This window comes from Homo sapiens, chromosome 1, assembly GCF_000001405.40.
Source record: "Homo sapiens chromosome 1, GRCh38.p14 Primary Assembly".
Classification (NCBI taxonomy): Eukaryota; Metazoa; Chordata; class Mammalia; order Primates; family Hominidae; genus Homo; species Homo sapiens.
Window position 1 is genome coordinate 27635752 of NC_000001.11, and position 24417 is coordinate 27660168.

General features: G+C 49.8%; 1 pseudogene, besides 6 other annotated features; it reads left to right on the forward strand.

Moving 5' to 3' along the window:
• Positions 1558–1617: an enhancer, noted in NCBI's record as "active region_564". NCBI's record gives its function as "activates an Ori minimal core promoter by ATAC-STARR-seq in GM12878 lymphoblastoid cells {active_cell/tissue: GM12878}" and the evidence as "EXISTENCE:reporter gene assay evidence [ECO:0000049][PMID:35858748]".
• Positions 8431–8530: an enhancer, noted in NCBI's record as "active region_565". NCBI's record gives its function as "activates an Ori minimal core promoter by ATAC-STARR-seq in GM12878 lymphoblastoid cells {active_cell/tissue: GM12878}" and the evidence as "EXISTENCE:reporter gene assay evidence [ECO:0000049][PMID:35858748]".
• Positions 13628–14189, forward strand: LOC729973 (uncharacterized; annotated as a pseudogene).
• Positions 15401–16367: an enhancer, noted in NCBI's record as "H3K27ac hESC enhancer chr1:27977663-27978629 (GRCh37/hg19 assembly coordinates)". NCBI's record gives its function as "activates a minimal SCP1, AML or CMV promoter by ChIP-STARR-seq in naive H9 embryonic stem cells {active_cell/tissue: H9 hESC(naive)}" and the evidence as "EXISTENCE:reporter gene assay evidence [ECO:0000049][PMID:30033119]".
• Positions 18760–19162: a silencer, noted in NCBI's record as "fragment chr1:27981022-27981424 (GRCh37/hg19 assembly coordinates)". NCBI's record gives its function as "represses an EF-1alpha promoter that drives an FKBP-Casp9 reporter gene in an ReSE screen in phorbol 12-myristate 13-acetate-treated (for megakaryocytic differentiation) K562 erythroleukemia cells {active_cell/tissue: K562(+PMA)}" and the evidence as "EXISTENCE:reporter gene assay evidence [ECO:0000049][PMID:32094911]".
• Positions 23485–23985: an enhancer, noted in NCBI's record as "H3K4me1 hESC enhancer chr1:27985747-27986247 (GRCh37/hg19 assembly coordinates)". NCBI's record gives its function as "activates a minimal SCP1, AML or CMV promoter by ChIP-STARR-seq in naive H9 embryonic stem cells {active_cell/tissue: H9 hESC(naive)}" and the evidence as "EXISTENCE:reporter gene assay evidence [ECO:0000049][PMID:30033119]".
• Positions 24095–24334: a silencer, noted in NCBI's record as "silent region_527". NCBI's record gives its function as "represses an Ori minimal core promoter by ATAC-STARR-seq in GM12878 lymphoblastoid cells {active_cell/tissue: GM12878}" and the evidence as "EXISTENCE:reporter gene assay evidence [ECO:0000049][PMID:35858748]".

Sequence of the window (24417 nt, forward strand, 5' to 3'; positions counted from 1 at the left end):
GTAACTGGCTGGGGGCAGTGGCTCAGCCTGTAATCCCAGCACTTTGGGAGGTTGGGTGGGAGGATTGCTTGAGCCCAGGAATTCCAGACCAGCCTAGGCAGCATAGGGAGACACCATCTCTACCAAAAAAAATTTTTCTTAAGTTAGCTCGGTGTGGTGGTGTGCACCTGTGGTCCCAGCTACTGCAGAGGCAGAGGTGGAAGGATCCCTCGAGTCAGGCAGGTCGAGGCTGCAGTGAGCTGTGATTGAGCTACTGCACTCTACCTTGGGTGACAGAGCAAGACCCTGCCTTAAAAAAAAAAAACACAAAAAAAGAATGTGGGTTTTGTTGCAGAAAATGACTTTTTTTAAAAAAAAGAAAGAAAAGGCCGGGTGCAGCGGCTCACGCCTGTAATCCCAGCACTTTGGGAGGCCGAGGCGGGTGGATCACGATGTTAGGAGATCAAGACCGTCCTGGCTAACACAGTGAAAGCCCATCTCTACTAAAAATCAAAAAATTAGCCGGGCGTGGTGGCGGGCGCCTGTAGTCTCAGCTACTCAGGAGGCTGAGGCAGGAGAATGGTGTGAACCCGGGAGGCGGAGCTTGCAGTGAGCCGAGATGGCGCCACTGCACTCCAGCCTGGGCGACAGAGCGAGACTCCGTCTCAAGAAAAAAAAAAAAAAAAAAAAAAAGGAAGAAAAACTGAGTATCTTAGAACATGTGGAAAAAGATTTTTAAAAACAAAAAGAGAAACGGTAGCATCCTCTATCAGTTCCAGTCTCTCTGTCTGATAGGGATCCCTGACCCCTCCTCAATCTGGGGTTCAGTCCCCACTCCCACCACTGTTACTTCAGCCTTAAAGCAAGAACCCGGAATATCCCTCCTGTCCAGGAGAGGAAGAGGTGTGGTGGGGAGGGCTGTTTGGTGGAGAAGGATGTGTCTGTTGGGATGTGGTGAGAGGCAGGGAGAGTGTGCGTAAACACAGAAGTGTGTGTGTGTGTGTGTGTGTGTGAGAGAGAGAGAGAGAGAGAAAGCAATGACATGATGACTTTGCTTTTGGAATCAACAACTAGGCCATGGTGTGCAGGCAAGTGTGTTTCTTTGTATGGGCAGGGGCATGTGGGGATGTGTGTGTGCATGCGTACACATGCTCAAGTGTGGCCCAATGTGCCTGGGGTAACAGAGTGGTGGGATGGAGATAAGAATGCTTTTCTCTTAGGAAATGGGAGGAGGGATGAGGAGGAAGACAGAGGAGCCAGTGGCAGTGCAGGGTCTCTGGAAGAGTGGCTTCACCCTAGCCGGGCAGCATCACCTCCGCCATCAAATGCTCCCTGCCTGGCCATCGGCCCACATGTTCAATTAGCAAACAAGCAAACGTTTATAATTGTGTCTTAGGTGCCAGCCTTAGGGAACACAGAGATGAGAGACTGGTCCCTGCTCTTGGGGGATCCCCCCAATCTATCATGCTCGCTCTGTCATCCTTCAAGGTCTGACTCACAAGCATCTGCTCTAGAGGCCTTCCCTGATTGCTGCCTCTACCCACTCCACACCCCCAGCAGAACCTCAGCATCTTCTGCCTGGGGCACCACTGGTTCCTGGGGGATGGGTGTGTGGGATATGTTTTCCTCAAGGGCAGGGGTCTGGCTCTTGTAGATGCCTCCAGTACCCACACAAGGCCCAGCACACAGTAGCAGGCTTTCTGTGTATAGGAACACGTGAATCAACCAAAGGACAAAGGAATTAACAGATGAACAAAGGAAAGCCCAGTGAAAAACTAAATAATGGAAGGTAAGAAAGAATGAATGAAGAAATTCAAGAATTGATGACTGAATAAGCAAATGAATGGAAGAACAAAATGACAACATTGCTTCTCAGGCCGGGCTCGGTGGCTGACGCCTGTAATCCCATTGTTTTGGGAGGCTGAGGCGGGCGAATCACTTGAGGTCAGGAGATCGAGACCAGCCTGGCCAATTTGGTGAAGCCCCGCCTCTACTAAAAATACCAAAATTAGCTGGGTGTGGTGCCGGTGCCTGTAATCCCAGCTACTCAGGAGGCTGAGGCAGGAGAATCGTTTGAACCCAGGAGGCGGAGGTTGCAGTGAGCGGAGATCACGGCACTGGACTTCAGCCTGGGCGACAAAGCAAGACTCCGTCTCAAAAAAAAAAATTGCTTCTACTTTTTAAAATATGTGTTGGGCCACATTAGTCCCTTGCTTAAAATCTCCCAGTGCCTTACCTTTCATTTTGCTTGGAAAAATAAAAATACAATACATACGATACCATAATAATAAAGAATAATAAAATCCAGCAGCTTTGTCTTGTCCTCTGAGGCCCTGTGTGCTTGGCCCCTGCCTCCTCTCCAGTCCCAGCTTTAGCCATCTTTCCCTTTACCCACATTTGGATCTTTTTCAGTTCCTAGAATACACTGAATTTTTGTCTCACAGTCTTTTTACATGGTGTTCCCTCTTCCTAGGATGCTCTTCTTCTTGCTCTTCACAGTACTGCTTCCTTTTTATTCTTCAATTGAAGTGCCGTCTCCTCAGGGAAGCCTCCCCTGACTGCCACATCTAAGAAGGTCTCCTTATTCTCGGTCTCAGCATCCAGTTTGTCTCCTCTATGGCTATCACAATCTGGAATTATATATTTCTGTGTTCATTGTTTTTTGTCTCTGGACCTCTCTAAACCAGATTAGGGCTCTGACCCAATCTGAGGTCAGGAGACAGCTGGCACTTCTTAGGACGAGCAAAGTGGATTCTATGCCCTCATTCATCCTTTCAGAATAACCTTGATTAGGAACACAGACTCTGGGCCCAGGCTGCCTGGTTTGCAGACCAACTCTGACCTTGGACAAGTTATTTCACCTTTTTTTTTTTTTTTTTTTTTTAGACAGAGTCTTGCTCTGTCTCCCAGGCTGGAGTGCAGTGATGTGATCTTGGCTCACTGTAACTCCCAGGTTCAAGCGATTCTCCTGCCTCAGCCTCTTGAGTGTCTGGGATTACAGGCGTGAGCCACCACACCCAGCTAATTTTTGTATTTTTAGTAGAGACAGGGTTTCGCTCTGTTGGCCAGGCTGGTCTCAAACTCCTGACCTCAACTGATCCACCTGCCTTGGCCTCCCAAAGTGCTGGGATTATAGGTGTGGGCCACCGCGCCCTGCCCAAGTTATTTCACCTTTCTGTACCTCAGTTTCCTCATATGTAAAATGGAAATTTAGTAGACCTCACCTCACAGAAGTCTTGAGAGAAATCAGTGAGCTGTTAGAGGAGTGTTTGGCACATAGTAAATACCACATAAGTGTTCACTATCATTCATTCATTCATTCATTCATTCAATTAAACCTCAACTCTCTGACCACAGTTTCCTATCCTTTCAGCCCATGTATTCACAAGCTCCTTGAAAACAATTCTAAGTCAGGTATGGTGGCTCACACCTGTAATCCCAGAACTTTGGGAGGCTGAGACAGGAGGATCACTTGAAGCCAGGAGTTCGAGACCAGCCTGGGCAGCCCAGGAGTTCGAGGCTGCAGTGAGCCATGGTTGTACCACTGCACTCTAGGCTGGGTGACAGAGCAAGACCCTGTCTCTAAATAAATAAATAAAACAATTCTAAAAACTGATACCAAAATCAAAAATCAAAGCCCAGCAAGCCCAATGAGACCTCTCTCATCCATTTCCCAGCTAGCCATCACTCTCCTCCTCTTCTCACTCCTGCTTTCAACCAGCCTAGATTCTGCTGTCAGTCCTTATGGTCATTCGTTGCAAAGACCTGGCACTGTCCGGCCTCCCTCTCCCTCCCTCTCCCTCCAGTGTACCTGCCTGGAAAACCCAGGCCTGCAGGAATCTAACCATTACCTTCTTTTTTTTTTTTTTTTTTTTTTGAGACAGAGTTTCGCTCTTGTTGCCTAGGCTGGAGTGCAATGGCACGATCTCAGCTCACCGCAATCTCCTCCTCCCAGATTCAAGCGATTCTCCTGCCTCAGCCTCCCGAGTAGCTGGGATTACAGGCATGCGCCACCACGCCTGCCTAATTTTGTATTTTTTTTTTTTTTGAGATGGAGTCTCACTCTGTCGCCCAGGCTGGAGTGCAGTAATTTTGTATTTTTAGTAGAGACAGGGTTTCTCCATGTTGGTCAGGCTGGTCTCGAAGTCCCAACCTTAGGTGATCCACCTGCCTCGGCCTCCCAAAGTGTTGGGATTATAGGCGTGAGCCACTGCGCCCGACCTCCCTTACCTTCTAAATGTGGAGGAGAAAACTGCTTGCTATGCAGACAGGGTCGCAACTCCCAGCCTCAATAGGACACTAACCAGGCCCAGCAATCCTCTGGTGCATTTCTCACTAAGCAGGCCCTATCACTCTGCCCAGATGAGCAGCTCACACTTTTTCTTTTGTCTTCCAACATCCTACCCCTTCTCCTCCTTCCCCACCTGAATTCTAAATCCTCTCACCTTCTGGGGATGTTACACCTCTGTAACTCCATCTCTCGTACCATCCAGCTTTTCCTTCCACAGAGTTATCCTCTTAGCATACAAACACATTCTAGAATCTCTTGTTTAAAAAGAAAAAACAAAACCCTTTCCTTAGAGAATTAAGCATTTATCCTGCCTTTTTAAGGAGAAACTGTGGTTCATTTCTAGTTGAAGATCCTCTTTGTAGAAAAATGCCAGCTAAAGCTGGGTGTGGTGGCTCATGCCTGTAATCCCAGCACTCTGGGAGGCTGAGGCGGGTGGATCACCTGAAGTCAGGAGTTCAAGATCAGCCTGGCCAACATGGTGAAACCCTGTCTCTACTAAAAATACAAAAAATTAGCCGGGAATGGTGGCAGGTGCCTGTAATCCCAGCTACTCCAGAGGCTGAGGCAGAAGAATTGCTTGAATCTGGGAGGCAGAGGTTGCAGTGAGCCGAGATTGAGGAACTGCACTCCAGTCTGGGCAACAAGAGCAAAACTCCATCTCAAAAAAAAAAAAAAAAAACCGGGCGTGGTGGTTTATGCCTGTAATCCCTGCACTTTGGGAGGTTGCGGTGGGCAGATCAACCAGAAGTCAGGAGTTCGAGACCAGCCTGGCCAACATGGCGAAACCACGTCTCTACTAAAAGTACAAAAATTAGCCAGGTGTGGTGGTGGGCGCCCATAATCCCAGCTACTCAGGAGGCTGAGGTAGGAGAATCACTTGAACCTGGAAGGCAGAGGTTGCTGTGAGTCGAGATTGTACCACTGCACTCCAGCCTGGGCAACAAGAACAAAACTCTGTCTCATAAAGAAAAAGAAAACAAGAAAAATGCCAGCTAGATGTGAGCACACAGCAAGATGGTGGCTGCCTACAGGACAAGAGAAGAGGCCTCAAAATAAAACCTACCTTGCCAGCACCTTGATCTTGGACTTCCCAGGCTCCAGAACTATAAGAAAAAGAAAGAAAGAAAGAAAATGCCCACTAATAAATATAGAGGGAATGTGAGAACTGGAAAAACTCCATTTAAAAAATTTTTATTTTTATTTTTTGAGATGGAGTCTCACTCTTTCACCCAGGCTGGAGCGCAGTGGTGCGATCTTAGCTAACTGCAACCTCCACGCCCCTCCCCCAACCCCAGGTTTAAGTGATTCTCATGCTTCAGCCTCCTAAGTAGCTGGGACTACAGGTGCCCGCCACTATGCCTGGCTAATTTTTGTATTTTTAGTAGAGATGGGTTTCACCATGTTGGCCAGGTTAGTCTCATACTGCTGGTCTCAAGTGATCCACCTGCCTCAGCCTCCCAAAGGGCTGGGATTGCAGGCATGAGCCACCGTGCCCAGCCAGGAAAAACTCCATTTTGTAATCCCAATTACATCACTGATTTAAGGAATCATCAATGGTTGATTGATGGTGGTGTCTCACCACCTGTAGTCCCAGCACTTTGGGAGGCCAAGGCAGGCGGATCACTTGAGGTCAGGAGTTCAAGACCGGCCTGGCCAATGTGGCAAAACCCTGTCTCTACTAAAAATACAAAAATTAGTGGGACGTTGTAGCATGCACCTGTAGTCCCAGCTACTCAGGAGGTTGGGGCTGGAGAATTGCTTGAACCCGGGAGGTGAAGGTTGCAGTGAGCCAAGATCATGCCACCGCACTTCAGCCTGAGTGACAGAACAAGACTCTGTCTCAAAAAATAAATAAATAAATAAAAATAAAGAATCATCAGTGATGTCCAGCAGGGTCAGTTCCTGGTGAGGGCTGTCTCCCTGACTTGCAATGGCCACCTTCTCACTGTGTCCTCGCATGGCAGAGAGAGAGCAAGCTCTTTGATGTCTCTTAATTTTTTTAAATTTAAGACTGTGTCTCGCTCTGTCACCCAGGCTGGAGTACAGTGATATGATCACAGCTCACTGCAGCCTTGACCTCTTGGGCTATAGCGATCCTCCCACCTCAGCCTCCCGAGTAGCTAGAACCATAGGAATGTACAACTACACCCGGCTAACTGTTCATTTTTTTGTAGAGACAGAGTCTCAGCATGTTGCCCAGGCTGGTCTGGAACTCCTGGGCTCAAGTGAACCTCCTGCCTCCCAAAGTGCTGGGATAACAGGGGTGAGACACCATGCCAAGCCTGGTGTCCCTTTTTATAAGGACACTAACCCTATCAGATCGGGGTCCTACCCGTATGATTTCATTTAACCTTAATTACTTCCAGAAAGGCCTCGTCTCCAAGTATAGTCACATTAGGGGTTAGGAATCCAACATATGAATTTGGGAAAGACAAAATTCAATCCATCACAGATGCTAAAACCCCTAGGTGAAAAGTTTTAAAGAAGACCATGTTCTCGGCCGGGCGCGGTGGCTCACGCTTGTAATCCCAGCACTTTGGGAGGCCGAGGCGGGCGGATCACGAGGTCAGGAGATCGAGACCATCCTGGCTAACACGGTGAAACCCCGTCTCTACTAAAAATACAAAAAAAATTAGCCGGGCGTGATGGTGGGCGCCTGTAGTCCCAGCTACTCGGGAGGCTGAGGCAGGAGAATGGCGTGAACCCTGGAGGCGGAGCTTGCAGTGAGCCGAGATTGCGCCACTGCACTCCTGCCTGGGCCACAGAGCGAGACTCCGTCTCAAAAAAAAAAAAAAAAAAAAAAAAAAAAAGAAGACCATGTTCTCACAGTGTGAAAGGAGCCCCACACAGATGATTTGGTATTTGCAAAGAGGATCACTCTTTTTCAATGAAGAGATCTGGTGGACGCCCCATAACCGTGCTTCCTATGTATGTATATACCATCACTATGAATAATTCTTTTTTTTTGGCCGGGTGTGGTGGTTCATGTCTGTAATCCTAGCACTTTGGGAGGTGGAGGCAGGTGGATCACAGAGGTCAGGAGTTTGAGACCAGCCTGGCCAACATGGTGAAACCCCATCTCTACTAAAAATACAAAAGATTAGCCAGGCATGGTGGCGGGTACCTGTAATCCCAGCTACTCGGGAGGCTGAGGCAGGAAAATCGCTTGAACCCGGGAGGCGGATGTTGCAGTGAGCCGAAATCACTGCACTCCAGCCTGGGCGACAGAGCAAGACTCTGTCTCAAAAATAAATAAATAAATAAATAAATAAATATTGCCATAAGAAAGTCAGTAGTAGAGGGTGACTGTTTTGTATTATAAGGGACTTCAAAGAGACATCACCACCAAATGTAATGCATAAACCTTGGTTGATTTCTTTGGTAAAAAGACCCAACTATCATTGTGCATATTAGTTGATGTGTTTTTCTCTCTCCTTCCTTGACTTTGGGCTCCACTAGGTTTCGTCGCTTTAACTTAGCATAGTTCAACCAGCATCTTGCAGCGTCTGGCACCCACTAGGTGCTTAATAAAGACCGACTGAGAAAACAGGAATGAAGGAAGGACAAAACTTTGCCTAGTGGAGAGGGATGACGTCTCAGAGGATTCTGAAGGACAAACAGGTTGCCCACAGGTGAAATCTCTGATTCAGCCTCCCACTCAGTGGCTCTAGTGCCAGACATGACACTCATTTTTGGGGAACCCAAACAGCAGAACTCTGACCAGCGGGTGGAGACTCGAGCAGGGAGGATTTCAGCTCAGGAGCAGGAAGAACTACAGCCGTGGGAATAGCTCAGCAGCAGAATAGCTGGTCTCGGGAGGTACCAAGGTGAGCATGCAGAGGGGACTCACACGGACTGACCTCATGCACAGGCAGGGAATGCACCTGCATGGTGACCCCGACCACAAGTCCCACCACCAAGCCTTTGCCCAAAGGTCCTCCCACCTGGCAGCCTCTCTGTCCCCTTTTTTGCCCAGGCTTAGCCTCCGAGAGAGCGGTATTTTCTCCCTTCTCTAAGCCCTGAGCACTTCTTCTCTGCACCACCAGGGGTCCTGTGGCACGATGTGCCTTTTTCGGGCAGGCATCTCTGCCTGGATAAGAAGCAAGGCCTCTGACAGGTTGTGCGAACTTGACCAAGTGTCTGCCTCTCTCTGGGCCCCTGTTTCCTTTTTTGTACAAGGATAAGGTGGGACAAGATGCCCCAAGAAGCCTGTTTAACCTTCAAATGTCTTTCTTGGAGTCTGGTCCTCTAGTCCTCTATGGCATTGGGGACTCCTAGGGGACAGGGACGATACTGGCTGAGGCCCCTGCCAGGACCCCCCAGGAACAGACCCAGCTTATCACCCCACAGTGTGGACATGCTGTGGTGATACTCTCACCTCCATTCTTGCTAAAGGCAGCGTGGCTCAAATTTAGGACCCACAAGTTACTGGCTGTGTGATCTTAGGCAAATGTCTTAACAACTCTGGGCTTTAGTTTCCACACCGATAAAACTAGAACAGTAATATCTGATTATCAGGATGAGGAGTAAAGGAAATGATGGCTTCGAAAGTATCTTGTACATAGCGGGTATACAAAAAGCTGTCAGGAGCCAGGGAGGGAGGTCTGATGAGGAGTTTTGGAATCTCTCCCATCACCACCCCAGATTCTAGTCTCTTCATCATCACAAGCTGCTTTATGCAGAGAGAGATACTAAATACCACATGTCTAGATCTAGAGTAGGCCTGGCACATAGTAGGTGCTCAATACATATTTGTCAAATGACAGATAAATCCTATAACCAATATCTTACTTGAGCCTTGAAGCAAACTGGTAAGGGGCAAGACAAGGGTACAGTTATTATCTCTGCTTCAAAGGTGAAGCCACTGTAGCTCAGAGAGGGAAAGTGACTTACCTAAGGTAACACAGCAGAGTTGGGCTTGGAACCCAGTTCCCTTCAGCTGTAGAACCCATAATAATGTCCCTCATCCATGCAGCCACTTTATAGACAGATTGCTAGGCTCTGCCTACGCTCACTCTCACATAAGGGAGTATCCCAGGGGGTGGTGCTTTGCCAAACACAAAGCAGGGCAGGCAGGCCAACTGGCCTGTCCCAGGGGCCCCACTCTGCTCCCTGATGACCCAGAGCCTGTGCTGGGTCACTGTGCTCCTTGGCTGGAGGCAGCTTGGCCTTGGCCTAGCAGACCCATGGAGCCACAGGACAGGTATCTTAGTGCAGCACGATGGGGAACCTGGGCCAAGTACGGCGGCTGAGCCTGTGGGACTACCTCTTGGGGCTGACCCACCCCAGGGGGCTCACAACAAGTCAACCTGGCAGGTCAGGAGTGTGCCATCCCCCAGGGCCTGGGTGCCCCCAACTTTCAGTGACTGCTGCCATATTTACGGTCAGTGAGACTCTTATTCTGGGGGTGGGAGGAGGGTTTCTAGAGTGGGTGGACTCTACCTGCCTGGAGTGCAGTGAGGAAGCCAGTGGGGTCATCACACAGCCCCCTCCCACCAGGAGTGCTGACGCATCCCTACACTGACGTCCAGGAGCCATCTGAGGCCTACGAGGACATGAGAACAAGCAGGGACCAGAGTGAGGACCACCGTAGTGCACTCTGGGGAGGCCGTGGAGTCCATCCTTCCCTCAGGGCAGGACAGAGCATTATAGAGGGGCTGGAGGTGATGGAATGGCGATTTTCACTGGGGGTGGGAGTGAGGGCTGGGGTATTAAAGTGGAGTGCAGAGTATTCGAATGGGTGCTGGAATATTTCAAGGGGATTGGAATATTTAAAGTTGGAGCAAAAATTTCAAGTTGAGGCTGGACTTTAAGAGTGGAGTGGAGGTTTGCCATAGGGGCTGGAGAACTTCCGCGACGATCAGAGTATTGCACAGTGGGGGCTAAAGAGTTTCACAAAGGCTGGGTTATTTCAGGCATATTATGGGGAGTGGGAGAGGACCTAGAGTATTTCAGTGAGACGCTGGAATCTTCCAGGGTAGGCTGGTATATTTCAGAGGTGAGTGAGAAAGGTGTATGCCCTTGGAGGCTGCCCAGGGAGCCCCCTTCAGCCCTGAGTCTGCAGGTCAAGGATCCTGGGGGTCCCTGGGAGTCTAGTCTTCTGCTTTCTCCTGTCCACCAGGGCAGGTCAGGACTGAGCCCTCCAGCTCCGCCACAGCAGTCCTTCTGCATGTGCCAAAATGTGACACCAGGGATCATGGCCTTGGGGATGTCTGCTGTTTATTTCCAAGTCAGTGGCACTAAGGAGCAGCCAGTCCCAGGGCACCCAATGCAGAGCATCCTGCTTGAGCTTTGGGGCTTCCAGGTAAGGACCAGGTCAACCTGGCCATCCCTCTGCCTGCAGGGAAGTCTCCCTTCCCTCCCCCGGAGCTCTCTCCCAAGAGTGGGACTCCCAGATGAAGTAGGGAGCATTCCTGGGCACAGAACCTTCTGCTTCCAGGGGTGTCTTTGCAGTCTACTTCCATCTCTCCTGCTTTGATGGGAGGCTTGTTAATTTCCTGAGTATGGGCGCTCTGTTGGGCTTTGTCTCAGTGGCTCCTGGACCTCCCGTAACTTGTGAGATCTGAGGACCTTGGGGGCCAGGAGTGCTTGATACTAGAAAGGGTGTCAGTGGGTGATGGAGGGAAGAGATTAGTGCCAGTTCTGGGTGACATCAACCCCCCAGGGGACAATTCCTATCCATTACACCAGGCACTGCTTTAGCTACTTACTGGGCTCTCGCTTTGACAAGCACCAGCGGAACTATGCCAACTTCACCAGCTGCTGTTCACACCACAACACATTCCACCTTCCCTAGAGTGAGTGGCCCCAGGGGCTAACTTGACATAGGCTAGAACCCCTGACACGCTCCCTTCCAGAGCACCAACTCTGTGCCTCCTGTATCCACACGCCCCAGCCACGCCCCAGCTGCGCAATGAGGTGGCACAATGCTGTGGTTCCTCAGTCAGTGTCAGGTGTGGGGCCAGGACCTCCCCCCGAATTGGGCTGTGTCCCCATCAGCCTGGAGACTGTCCCCTCACCGGCCAGGTGACTCAAGCTCCCTGGGAGTCAAGGCAATCTGGGAGTGGGGGCTCTCAGTGGTCCCCTAAGCCTTATCAGTATGAGAGGAGGGAACACAAAATTGTCCCTCTGAGACAGGAGGCCAGTTTGGCTTGGCATATGCTCAGGCCTGGAGTTCCTACCAGAGGAGCAAAAGAAGGAAGGGAGAAGGAAACACCACTTATTGAGCACTTACTGTGTGCCATATCCTGTCTAGACATTTACACACATTCTCTCCCTGTGGTAGAATCACTCTGTTATATGGATAGAGAAACTGAGGCCAGAGAATTTCAGAGGCTTTCCCAAGGTTACGCAGCTAGTGCATGAGTGAAACAGCTGGGGCGTGGCCCAGGGTCTGTCTGAATTGACTAACATTGCCTCCTCTCCATAACCCTGAAATGGGCCTCTGGACAAATCCTGACTCCTCCATCTACTGTCTGGATGACCTTGAACAAGCTGCATAAACTCTTTAAGTCTCAGTCTCCTCATCTGTAATATGGGTATATTAGTAAAAACCCATGTGATGTGATGAATTGGGCTGACACATGTGAAGTGCCTGACATGTAAGTACACCGTCACTGTTAGACAATACTACCTTTGGAGCTCTCACGGAAGAGACATAGCCCTGCCCCCTGTTTGAGGAAAGATATAAAGCTGTGTTTTCGGGAACCCCCAGTCCGAAGGAGAGACCCCCTTGCTTAACATCACCAGGGCCGGGAGAAGGAGGAGGGCAGGATGGAGTGGACCACAAGCTAGAGAAAGGTGGTCTCTAGCACCAGGTTAATTTTGAAAGACTCTCCCGTACGGTCAATTTCATTGTCTACACACACACACACACACACACACACACACACACACACACACACACGTATTTTTAAGACAGAGTCTCACTCTGTCTCCCAGGATGGAGTACAGTGGCGGGCACAATCTTGGCTCACTGCAACCTCCACCTCCCGGATTCAAGTGATTCTCCTGCCTCAGCCTCCCGAGCAGCTGGGATTACAGGTGCCGGCCACCACACCCAGGTAATTTTTGTATTTTTAGTAGATATGGGGTTTCACCATGTTGGCCAGGCTGGTCTCAAGCTCCTGACCTCAAGTGATCTGCCTGCCTCAGCCTCCCAAAGTGCTGGGATTACAGGCGTGAGCCACTGCTCCCGGCCCATTATCCCGATTCTACAAATGGGGAAACTGAGGTCCAGAGAAGTCCAAGAATATAGTGACTCAATGAGCAGGCCAAGGCCCCACACCAGGCACTCAGCCCCTCTGGCTCAGGGTGGGAGCAGATGTAATATGCTGGGTGCCCCTGTGCCCCCACCCCAAGATGTGTTCTGCATGAAACTGAAACTCTTCAGCCTAGGTACACCACTGCGTGCCAGGGAACCCCAGGCCAGACTTCATGGAACACAGCAAGGACCTGACCCTCAGCCTCTTGGATCACTCCTGCCACTGGCATGGGAGGAGCCATAGCAGCAAGGAGTACCTGGAGCTGCACAGGGAGAACTTCCTCCTCATCCTCAGGTGGGCCAGGGCTGGCTCCCACACAGGGCATAGCACCTTTGACTTTGCCATCTGCCCTCTTCTGCATCCTCACGGCCACCCTGCCACCTGATGAGATCATCCCCAACCCCACTATTCAGAGGAGGAAACTGAGTTTCAGAGTGGCAGGAGGCTTGCCCAAGGTCATACCGGGAGAATTCAGCAGAGGCAAGATTGGAAAGCAGGCTAGCTGGCTCAACTCCAAGTCTTTAGTCCTGCCCTGCCTTATTTTTAGGCCTGAGTCCCCATCTCAACTCCTGCATTCTCCCTGGCAGAACTAAAGAGGGTGTGCCTTCCCTAAGGTCACCCAGCCGAGCAGCAGGCAGGTGGGCTCCCAGCCCCACCTTGTCCCCCAAATACTCTGTTGTTTGGACTTTTTTTTTTTAAGAGACAAGGTCTTACTCTGTCGCCCAAGCTGGAGCGTAATGGCATGATCCTAGCTCACTGCAGCCTCAAACCTCTGAGTTCAGATGATCTTCCTGCCTCAGTCTCCTGAGTAGCTAAGACTACAGCTGTGCACAACCATATGCGGCTAATTTTTAATTTTTTTGTACAGACAGGGTCTTGCTGTGCTGCCCAGGCTGGCCTTGAACTCCTGGCTTCAAGCAATCCTCCCACCTTGGCCTCTCAATGTATTAGGATTACAGGTGTGAGCTTGGCCTGCACTTTATTCATAAATATATGTTTCCAGATCTGCCTTTCCCACTGGACTCTTGAGGGCCTGGCCCAGAGATGGCATCTCTCAGTATTTGCTGGTTGAATTGAAAAATAACATGTTTAGGTTTCTGGTGGCAGGGTCTGCGGAAGGGGCGGCAGGTGCCATGTCCGGCCACGAAGGTGGCAAGAAGAAGCCACCGAAACAGCCCAAGAAGCAGGCCAAGGAGATGGACGAGGAAGACAAGGCTTTCAAGCAGAAACAAAAAGAGGAGCAGAAGAAACTCGAGGAGCTAAAAGCGAAGGCCGCGGGGAAGGGGCCCTTGGCCACAGGTGGAATTAAGAAATCTGGCGAAAAGCAAGCTGTTCCTTGTGCCTGAGGAGATGGTGACCCTTTATTTCATCCGTATTTAAACTTCTCTATTCCCTGCCATAACATCTTTTGCCCCGTATAGCTGGAATAAAGTGTTATCTTGGAGCTGTTGTACATTTAAGAATAAACTTTTGTAAAAAAAAAAAAAAAATCTTACAGTGGCTCATCATCTCTTTAGTTGTTTTCACTAAGTCATTCCTACCATAACTGTGAATTTAAAAGTAAAACCAGCTCAGAATCTTGCCAGAGTCTGCTCTTTGGTCCTTGTTCTACCCTAAACTTTGTATCACCTGAAATTAAATCAACTCCTTTGAAAAAAAAAAATAACATGTTTATTGAATATTTTTAATGAGCCAAGGATATGCTAAGGGTTTTATATACATGAGCTCATTTAATCTTCACAATGACCATGTAAGTACTATTATCTCATTTTATAGACAGAGAAAGCAAGACTTAGAGAAGATAAGAGCTGGGTGCCTAGCACATAGTTGGTGCTTCTGATTCTTATTCTGAGCTGACTGACTAAATGGATGGATAAATTAAGAAGGGAGAGGTGGGAGTGAGGTGGTCAAGGTTAAGGTGCCAACCTCACCTCTCATCTGGGTTCAGTCATGCCCACAACCATGTCCACCATCTTGTCCCTGGCTCCCAACCACCTGATGGGCCACAGTCCTGGGGAGCTGGCTGCCCTGCAGGGTGTGCTGAAATCCTCTAAGATGAATAAAGAGAAACCTTTCCTGCCAAGCAGCTGACAAGAGTTGCTCTGCCTGAGAATTGAGACTGCAGACTCCGTGGGGAGGGTTCACCTCCAAACCCTTAACAACTACCAAAATATTACAGGAAAAAATTAGCCCAGCTGCTTTCTCAGAAGCCCTAGGGAAATAAAGGAAACTCATTCTTTATTGCAGCAAGAATGATTTCGGTTAGACTGCAGAAGGAACTGACAGAGAAACAGAACAAACCAGAGGGGGAATTCCTTATCAGAGTCAGGAAATGATACGTGTGGGCCCTGTAGGCAGCTTCATAGGGTGAGCCTTGGAAAAGGAGGGAGGCTGAGTGAGTAGGAACCATGGTTCCCATAGTTCCTGCACAGGGGAACCATTGTGTAATGGAGAAGTCATGTCATATCCCCCCCGCCCGTCAACAGCCAAATGAAAAGGCCACGTGGAAAGAAGAGAGGGAGGGCACCCTGAGACAAGGAGCCCATGTGGTCACATGGGAGGTATTCCTGGAGGGGCAGGGGTGAGAGGAGTGTGAAGGTGTCCCAGGGAAGGAGAAGGAAGTCACATTTATCAAACCCCTGCTGTGAGCCAGGACCATGCTAAGCACTTTACATCTGGTGTCACATTTCATCCATTCATTCAACAAATATTTACTGAATGTGCCAGGCCCTGTGCTAGGGCCTGAGGAGAGGGCTGTGAACAAGGCAGCTCCAGTCCCCTCCCCTCTTGGAACTTAGAAGTGGAGGAGACAATCAACAGATGTGTGACATCACTGGTGAGACTCGCTTTGAAGAGAAGCAAAGAAAGGAAGGGGCTAGAACGTCTTGGCAATCAGGGGTCAGGGCTGTGTAAAAGAATTTTTTTTTATTTTTGTATTTTTTAGGTGAAAGAAGGCCTCTTTGCAGAGGTGACATTTAGCAGTGACCTGAATAAAGTGAGGGAACTGTGAGTGCAAAGGTCCCAAGGCGAGAGTCTGCCTGGGGGCCGGTGTGGCTGGAAGACAGTGAGCGAGGGGAGATGAACTGAGAGCTGTTCAGCAAGGATGTGCTCACGCTGGTGGGCCTTCTCCGCTACAGGAAGGATATTTGGTTTTATTATCAATGTGATGGGAAACCACTGGAAGGTTTCTGAGCAGGAGAGTAATATGGTTTATTTATTTATTTATTATTTATTTGTTTATTTATTTATTTTTGAGAAGTAGTCTCGCTCTGTCACCAGGCTGGAGTGCAGTGGCACGATCTCAGCTCACTGCAAACTCTGCCTCCCAGGTTCAAGCAATTCTCCCAAGTAGCTGGGACTACAGACGTGCACACCACCACACCTGGCTAATTTTTGTATTTTTAGTAGAGAAGGGTTTCACCATTTTGGACAGGCTGGTCTTGAACTCCTGGTCTTGAACTCCTGGCCTCAAGTGATCCACCCGCCTCGGCCTCCCAAAGTGCTGGGATTTCAGGTGTGAGCCACCGTGCATGGCCAAACTTAGTATCCTTTATTTTATTTCATTTTGAGATGGAGTTTCACTCTTGTTGCCCAGGCTGGAGTGCAATGGTGCAACCTTGGCTCACTGCAACCTCCACCTCCTGGGTTCAAGCGATTCTTCTGCCTCAGCCTCCTGAGTAGCTGGGATTACAGGCATGCACCACTACACCTGGCTAAATTTGTATTTTTAGTAGAGATGGGGTTTCTCCCTGTTGGTCACGCTGGTCTCAAACTCCCGACCTCAGGTGATCCGCCTGCCTCAGCCTCCCAAAGTGCTAGGATTACAGGCATGAACCACTGCACCCGGCCCTCAGTATCCTTTATAAAGCTTTCCCTACTAGAACACACAGATCTCCCTGATTCTTTTTCGTAGCCATATAGTATTCCATTTTGTGGATGGACTGTGCTCTACCTAGTCTAGCCCCTTACTAATCGACAGTTGGGTTGTTTCCAGTCTTTGGCTATGGAAACAGTGCTGCAGAGAATAACTTTATACATACATCATTTATTACTCATGCAAGTCTATCCGAAGATGAATTCCCAGAAATAGGTTATCTGAAGGTATTTTGATAGATTTTGCCAAAATGCCCTTTTACCAATTTATATTCACACATGTGAGAGTCATGTGTGAGAACATGTGTGAGAGTAGTACTATTTCCTCATAGAAATGCTCACAGAATATGTTATTCAGCTTTTGGGGTTTTTTTGGCCAGACTGATAAGACATCGTATCTTAGTCCATTTTGTGCTGCTATAATAAAATCCCACAGAATGGATAATTAATCATAAACAGAAGTGTATTGGCTCACAGTTTTGGAGGCTGGGAATTCCAGGATCATGGGGCCCACATCTGGCTTGGGCCCTCTTGCTGTGTCATCCCATGGTGGAAGAGCAAAGAGAGGGTGACAGAGAAGAAAAGGGAACTGAACTTGCCCTTTTATAATGAATCTGTTCCCAGAATAATAATCCCACTCCTGCTATAACAGCACCACCAATCCATTCATGAGGGTGAAACCCTCATGACCTAAACACCTCTCCTTAGGCCCAACCTCCCAACACTGTTGTATGGGGTTAAGTTCCCAGCACCTGCTTTTCGCGGCGTAATGTTCAAACTGTAGCAATATTCTAGTCTAGTTTTTCTGGTTTGCATTTCTTTTGAGTTTGAGCTTCTTTTTATGTGTTTAAGAATCACTTATATTTACTTTTCTGGGAACCGTCAGTTCATATGCTAGGCCTCTATTTCTTTCTTTTTTTCTTTTTTCTTTTTTTTTGAGATGGAGTTTCGCTCTTGTTGCCCAGGCTGGAGTGCAATGGCGTGATCTCGGCTCACTGCAACCTCCGCCTCCCAGGTTCAAGCGATTCTCCTGCCTCAGCCTCCTGAGTAACTCGGATTACAGGCAGGCGCCACCATGCCCAGCTAATTTTTTTGTATTTTTAGTAGAGACGGGGTTTCTCCATGTTGGTCAGGCTGGTCTTGAACTCCCGACCTCAGGTGATCTGCCCACCTTGGCCTCCCAAATTGCTGGGATTACAGGCGTGAGCCACCGCGCCCGGCCTAGGCCTCTATTTCTATAAGATTAATCAATTTCCTGGAATTCTTTCTAAATAAGCGAGATGTTCCCTTGTCTGTGATTAGAGTTGTAAATATTTCCCCCAGATTGTCATTTGTCTTATGCGTTGATTTATAGTGTTTTTCCATGCAGAAGTTTTTGATTTTTATATAGTTGACTTTATCAATCTTTTCTTTTTACAGCTTTTTGATTTTTGAGTCATGGTTAAACTTTCTCCACTATGAGATTATACATTCTCCCATGTTTTCCTCTAGTGCCTTTACGGTTTTATTTTGATTTTTCAAACATTTAAATATTTTATCCCTTGGGAGCTCATCCTGGTGCTCAGTGTGAGGCACGGATCTAATTTTTTTTTTCCTAGTTGGCTACCTAGGTGTCCCAACACCATTTATTAAAGAGTCCATTTTCCACTTTGAGAGGACACCTTTATCAAATACTAAATTCTCGCGTGCAATTAGGTCTATTTCTGGACTTTCTATTCTAGTCCATTGGTCTGTTTGTCTCTTCCTGAACCAAACCAAGTGGTTTTAATTATTATTTTTTGTTTTGTTTTGTTTTGAGACCGAGTCTCGCTCTGTCGCCCAGGCTGGAGTGCAGTGGTTTGATCTCGGCTCACTGCAACCTCTGCCTCCTGGGTTCAAGCAATCCTCCTGCCTCAGCCTCCCAAGTGGCTAGGATTATAGGCACCCACCATCACGTCTGGCTAATTTTTATATTTTTAGTAGAGAAGGGGTTTCACCATGTTGGCCAGGCTTGTCTCGAACTCCTGACCTCAAGTGATCCACTCGCCTCGGCCTCCCAAAGTGCAGGGATTACAGGCATGAGCCAGCATGCCCAGACTTAATTATTTATTTATTCTTATTTTATTTTTTTGAGATGGAATCTCTTTTCATCGTCTAGGACGCTGGAGTGCAGTGGCATGATCTCGGCTCACTGCAACCTCTGCCTCCTGGGTTCAAGTGATTCTCCTGCCTCAACCTCCTGAGTAGCTGGGACTATAGGCGCCTGCCACCAGGCCAGGCTAATTTGGCTAATTTTTGTATTTTTTTTTTTTTTAAGATGGAGTCTCACTCTGTTGCCCAGGCTGGAGTGCAGTGGCATGATCTTGGGTCACTGCAACCTCCAACTCCCGGGTTCAAGCAGTTCTCTGCCTCCGTCTACCAAGTAGCTGGGACTATAGGCATGCACCACCACACCCAGGTAATTTTTGTATTTTTAGTAGAGACAGGGTTTCACCACATTGGCCAGGCTGGTCTCGAACTCCTGACCTCAGGTGATCCGCCTGCCTCGGCCTCCCAAAGTGCTGGGATTACAGGCGTGAGCCACCATGCCCGGCTCTTAATTTTTGTATTTTTAGTAGAGATGGGGTTTCACCATGTTGGCCAGTCTGGTCTTGAACTCCTGACCGCAAGTGATCCACTCGCCTTGGCCTCCGAAAGTGCTGGGATTACAGGCGTGAGCCACCCCATCAAGCCCCAAGTTGTTTTAATTTTTGAGGCTTTAAATATTGTTATCTAACAGTAGTCAGTGAGTGTTGCCTTTTTTTTTTTCCAGAATTTTTCTGGCATTCTTTTTCTTTCTCTCTCTTCTGTCCTTTTTTTGTTTGTTTTTGGGGGTGGGGAACCTCAGGAGACCTCATGGGATTTATGCCTTTGCAGGAAAAAGAAAATCAATAATTACATGTTATTTGGTAGTGGCTAAGAAAAAAAATAAAGCAGGTAAAAGAGCAGAAGGCAACTAAGGGGTAATATTTAGATAGGCAGCCAGGGAAGTCCCCTGGATGAGGGGGAGATACCTGAGTGAAGGATGGGAGACCACGTGGCTACCTGGGGGAAGACATGCCTGGCAGGGCCAAGGGCAAATGCAGAGGCCTGAGGCAGGAGCACGCCTGGCATGCTGAAAAACAGCAAGGCGGCCAGTGCAGCTGGAAGGGAGTGATCAGAGCAGAGAGTGGGAGGCAGTGAGGTAGATCACGCAGGGCCTTGTAGGTCACAGCAAGGACATTGGCTTTTCCTCTGACACCAGGAGCCATGGGGGGGGCGAGGGGGTTGAGCAGAAGAGTGACATGTTCTGACCTCCGTTTTAACAGGATCACTCAGGCTACTGCGTGGAGTGCAGACTGCAGGGGTGAGGGTAGCGGCAGGGAGGGCAATAGGATTTGGGATGGGTGAATAAATTGTAACTTGGTTTCCTTGTCCATTTTCCCCCATCAAACTGTGAGCTTTGCAAGGACAGGCCCTGAGCTTATTCAGCTCTATGAGCCAAGTGCCAGGCCCAGAGTAGGCGCGGATAAACACTGTGTGAGGAAGAAGGGTGGGAAGACAGAGGAGGAGACAGGAGGCAGGAGAGGCAGAGCCCCCTGGGAAATGGCTCTGCAAAGGCCACAGAAAGAAGAGGAAGCAGACATGATGACAGAGCCTGTTCCCCAGCAGGAACCAAGGCCAGGAAGGGCTGAAGCTGGGGAGCTGGGCCCCCAACCCCGGATCTGTGGCCCCCATTAACAATCAGGTTATGTGCAGTTTATGCTGGAGTTCTGCCAACAAAAGGACCCTGGCCGGGGGGGGTGGGGTGGGGATCTGTTCCTCAAGGTGAAGGTGCAAAGGTGAGGTGGCCTGGCAGAGAGGAGAGCAGCTTTCCTGAATCCTTGCACACAGAGGCCCTGAGAAAGGATAATTCACCCCCTTTATAGATGGTAAGTTGAGGCTCCATGAAAGAAACAGACCTAAGTGATACAGCAAATAGGTGGCCTGGCCTAGTTTCAGGGGCTTGGCCTCTCCAAAACACCTCCTTGGCCACTACCTAATTTGGTCGGGGTCCCCTGCAGTTTTAGGGAGTGACTAAATACAGAAGGAAGGGATGACTCCTGTTATTCAGCCAGCTCTTAGCTGCTGCCAAAGCACAGCTGGTGAGTCCTCACTGTGGGCGGGACCCAGCTTGGGGAACAAAAGCCACAGGACACTTCAGGACCTCATGAGGCTTAGGAAAGAATTGGCCTGGAAGTAGGGCAGATAGACAAGAGGCACCAAGCTGAGGGGCAGAGGAAAGAGGTCAGGCTTTGAAGTTAGGCCTGGCTTTGCCACTATCTTGCTGTGTTATCTTAGGTAACTAGCACCTCAGTTTGCGCATCTGTAAAATGGGAACGACAAGTCCTGCTTTATAGGGCTGGCATGGGGGTTGAAAGGGGCAACAGAAGTCCAGTGCTACCTGAAAGTGCTTCCTTCTTAGCTTCCCCGCTCCCAGACTGGGGACCTGCTATCCCTGTCTTCAGCAGATGCTGGTTGGCTGCTCCTGAGCAAAGGGGAAATGGGCTGCGATGGCGGCTCAAGTCCCAGGCCTACAAATGGGTACAGGCTGTGGGGGATCTGGCCAGTGCTGACACCTAGGGGCTCTTTCAGGATTAGGTGAGCTTGCACATGCCCTCAGGACAGTTGAGTAGGTCTTGGCTCTGCACCAACTACCTCAGGCAAGGTAATCACTCTCTCTGGGCCTCAGCTCCAGGGAATCTCTTCGGCAATGGTTGGGGGTGGGCAGGAATTAGAGGTCTTCTAATTGCAAACGGAGTGGGCTGCTTCAAGAGTAGTGAGCTCCCTGCCTCTGGAGGTATGTAAGCAGGGACTGGACAAGCACTGGGTAGAGATTCACTCACTCATTAATTCAATAAACTCCTACTGAGATTCCATTTTGGGCCAGGGCCTGTGGCCATCATTGTCATTAGGAGATATAGTGACAAGGCATCTTTACTCTCCTGTAACTTACATCTTTTTTTTTTTTTTTTTTTTTTTTTGAGACGGAGTTTCCCTCTTGTTGCCCAGGCTGAAGTGCAATGGCGCGATCTCGGCTCACTGCAACCTCCGTCTCCCAGGTTCAAATGATTCTCCTGCCTCAGCCTCCCAAGTAGCTGGGATTACAGGCGCCCACCACCACGACTGGCTAAGTTTTGTATTTTTTTAGTAAAGATGGGGTTTTGCCATGTTGGCCAGGCTGGTCTTGAACTCCTGACCTCAGGTGATCCACCCGCCTCGGCCTCCCAAAGTGTTGGGATTACAGGTGTGAGCCACCACACTCGGTCTCCTCTCCGCCCCCTCCCCTTCCCTCCCTTCTCTTCTCTTCTCTTTTTTTTTTTAGACAGGGTCTTGCTCTGTTGCCCAGGCTGGAGTGCAATGGCTTGATCTTAAGCTTAACTGCAGCCTCAACCTCCTATGCAGAAGTGATGCTCATGCCTCAGCCTCCCGATTAGCTGGAACTACAGGTACATGCCAGGTATGCTCAGCTAATTTTAAAAAATTTTTAGTAGAGGCCAGGCATGGTGGCTCATGCCTGTAGTCCCAGCACTTCAGGAGGCTGAGGCGGGTGGATCACCTGAGGTCAGGAGTTCGAGACCAGCCTGACCAACATGGAGAAACCCCATCTCTACTAAAAAAAATACAAAATTAGCCAGGCATGGTGGTGCATGCCTGTAATCCCAGCTACTTGGGAGGCTGAGGCAGAAGAATTGCTTGAACCCGGGAGGTGGAGGTTGCAGTGAGATGAGACCACGCCATTGCACTCCAGCCTGGGCAACAAGAGTGAAACTCCATCTCAAAAAAAAAAAATTTTTTTTTAGTAGAAATGGGGTCTTGCTATGTTGCTCGGGGTGGTCTTGAACTCCTAGCCTCAAGCAATCATCTCACCTTGGCCTCCCAAAGTGCTGGGATTACAGGTGTGAGCCACCACCACTGCCAACCGATAACTTACATTCTAATGGGGAGACATTAAATACTGCCAAGACAGTATGTGTTCTATATTGCAGAGGCTGGTCATGAACTCCAGCCTCCAACCCATAGAGAAACTGACTTCTAAACTGATTTTTTTTTTTTTTTTTTTTTTTTTTTTTTTTTGAGACGGAGTCTCGCTCTGTCGCCCAGGCTGGAGTGCAGTAGTGCAATCTCGGCTCACTGCAACCTCTGCCTCCTGGGTTCCAGCGATTCTCCTGCCTCAGCCTCCTGAGTAGCTGGGACTACAGGTGCATGCCACCATGCTCGGCTAATTTTTGCTATTTTTAGTACAGATGGGGTTTTGCCATGTTGGCCAGGCTGGTCTTGAACTCCTGACCTCAGGTGATCCGCCCACTTTGGCTTCCCAAAATGCTGGGATTACAGGCATGAGCCACCACACCTGGCCCTAAACTGAGATTTTTTTTTTTTGAAGGATAAATACAAGTTAAATAGGGAAGGGAAGAGTGTTTAGGTCTGAGAGAAAAACAGGTGCAAAGGCTCAGAGGCGAGAGAGACATGTATTTTCAAGCAGCTGAAAGTTCAACGTGGGCAGAGGGAAGGAGGCAAGGAGGGGAGTGGCTGCGCTGAGTGAGGTCAGCAGTCACTCACCAGTCCTCAGCTGAACTGAGACCCACCTTAGGGGTCAGGATCCATCCTCTTCCATGATGATCAGGGATGAGGAGTTAGCCAGGTAAAAGGTGTGAGGGGATGGCTCAGGGAAGAAGTGATCCCAGCAGAGGTTTGTGTCACTGGGAGAGAGGAAAGACAGCTGAAAGTTGAGTCTGGCTATAGCCTGCCTGGGGGCTTGGCTGAGAAGAGAGACCTTGGTATTGTGGCCTGTGGGTCTTGCCAAGTGGCCTGAGGGCCATACGGAGCCTCTGAATGGTTTTGTGCAGGGGAGTGACTCAACCTTGGTAGGAACATGCAGGAAGGTTGTCCTGGGATGCCCTTTAAGGTCTCAGCAGACTGAAACCTCAAAGAGCCTCTGGGGAGCCCAGCCATCTTAGGCACAACCTCATTCGAGCCATCAGGGAGGATGAGAAAACTCACTTGTCAGAGGAACCTTAGAGAAGTCAAGAGACAAGGCTGGAGGGCCCTGAGCTGGGGGGTGGGGAGCATGGGGAAAGAAGAGGGTGAGGGCTCAGAAAGGCAAGAGCCCCGACACCAGGAGGCGGTGCCTGCTCTTAGCTTGCCACGGACTCCATGATTCAAGAAGGCCTGGCCCCCAGGACCCTGGGACTAGAAAGGCAATTGACTCATCCTAGGATGGGGGAAGCCTGGCCCCGGAGGTTAAGTGAAATTGCTCTAAGACACAGAGCACATCAGCGGCAGGATCAGGAAGAAACTAGTAACCCTGGAGCACCTAGCACCAGCACCCCTAGTGCAGGGTACTTCATACCTCGCATCATCTAACGCAGGTGTCGCTTCATTTTACAGATAAGCGGACTAACGTCCACAAGTCATGGACTCCTGTTCTGGGTCACACAGAGTTAGGGCTAAGAAACCAGGTCTGCAGGCGCCTAGTTTCCCGCAGTTCTTCTGGGTCTGAGTTTGGGGTGGTGGGGAAGAGGCGAGCGTGTCAAGGAGGGTGAGAGGGAGGGTGGGGCTGTGTTTCTGGGACTTTCCTCGCTGAGGTCAGAGGCACCGAAATAGACGCGCTGCAGCGAGCGCCCGGAGGCCCGGTCACACCCTGTGCCCGGCCCGCCGCGGGGAGCGGTCCAGCCGCAGCGCACGAGCCCTCCGCCGTCCCACTGCCCCCCGGAACCGCGCGAGCCTCGCAAACCGCTCGGCGCCCAGTCTCCACCTCGCCGGCTTCATGAACGTGCCCCGGGAGACCCCGACGCCCTGAAGCCGGCGCGGCCGCCCCACCGCCCCACCGCCCCACCGCCCCACCGCCGTCTGCGCGAACGCCGGGCCTCCCCCTCCGCCCATCGCTGCCACCATCTCTACTCCGACGGCTGCGGCGGTGGGTGTGGCCACCGCGCTTGCCAATCAGGAAGTGAGGGCCGGCTCCGGACG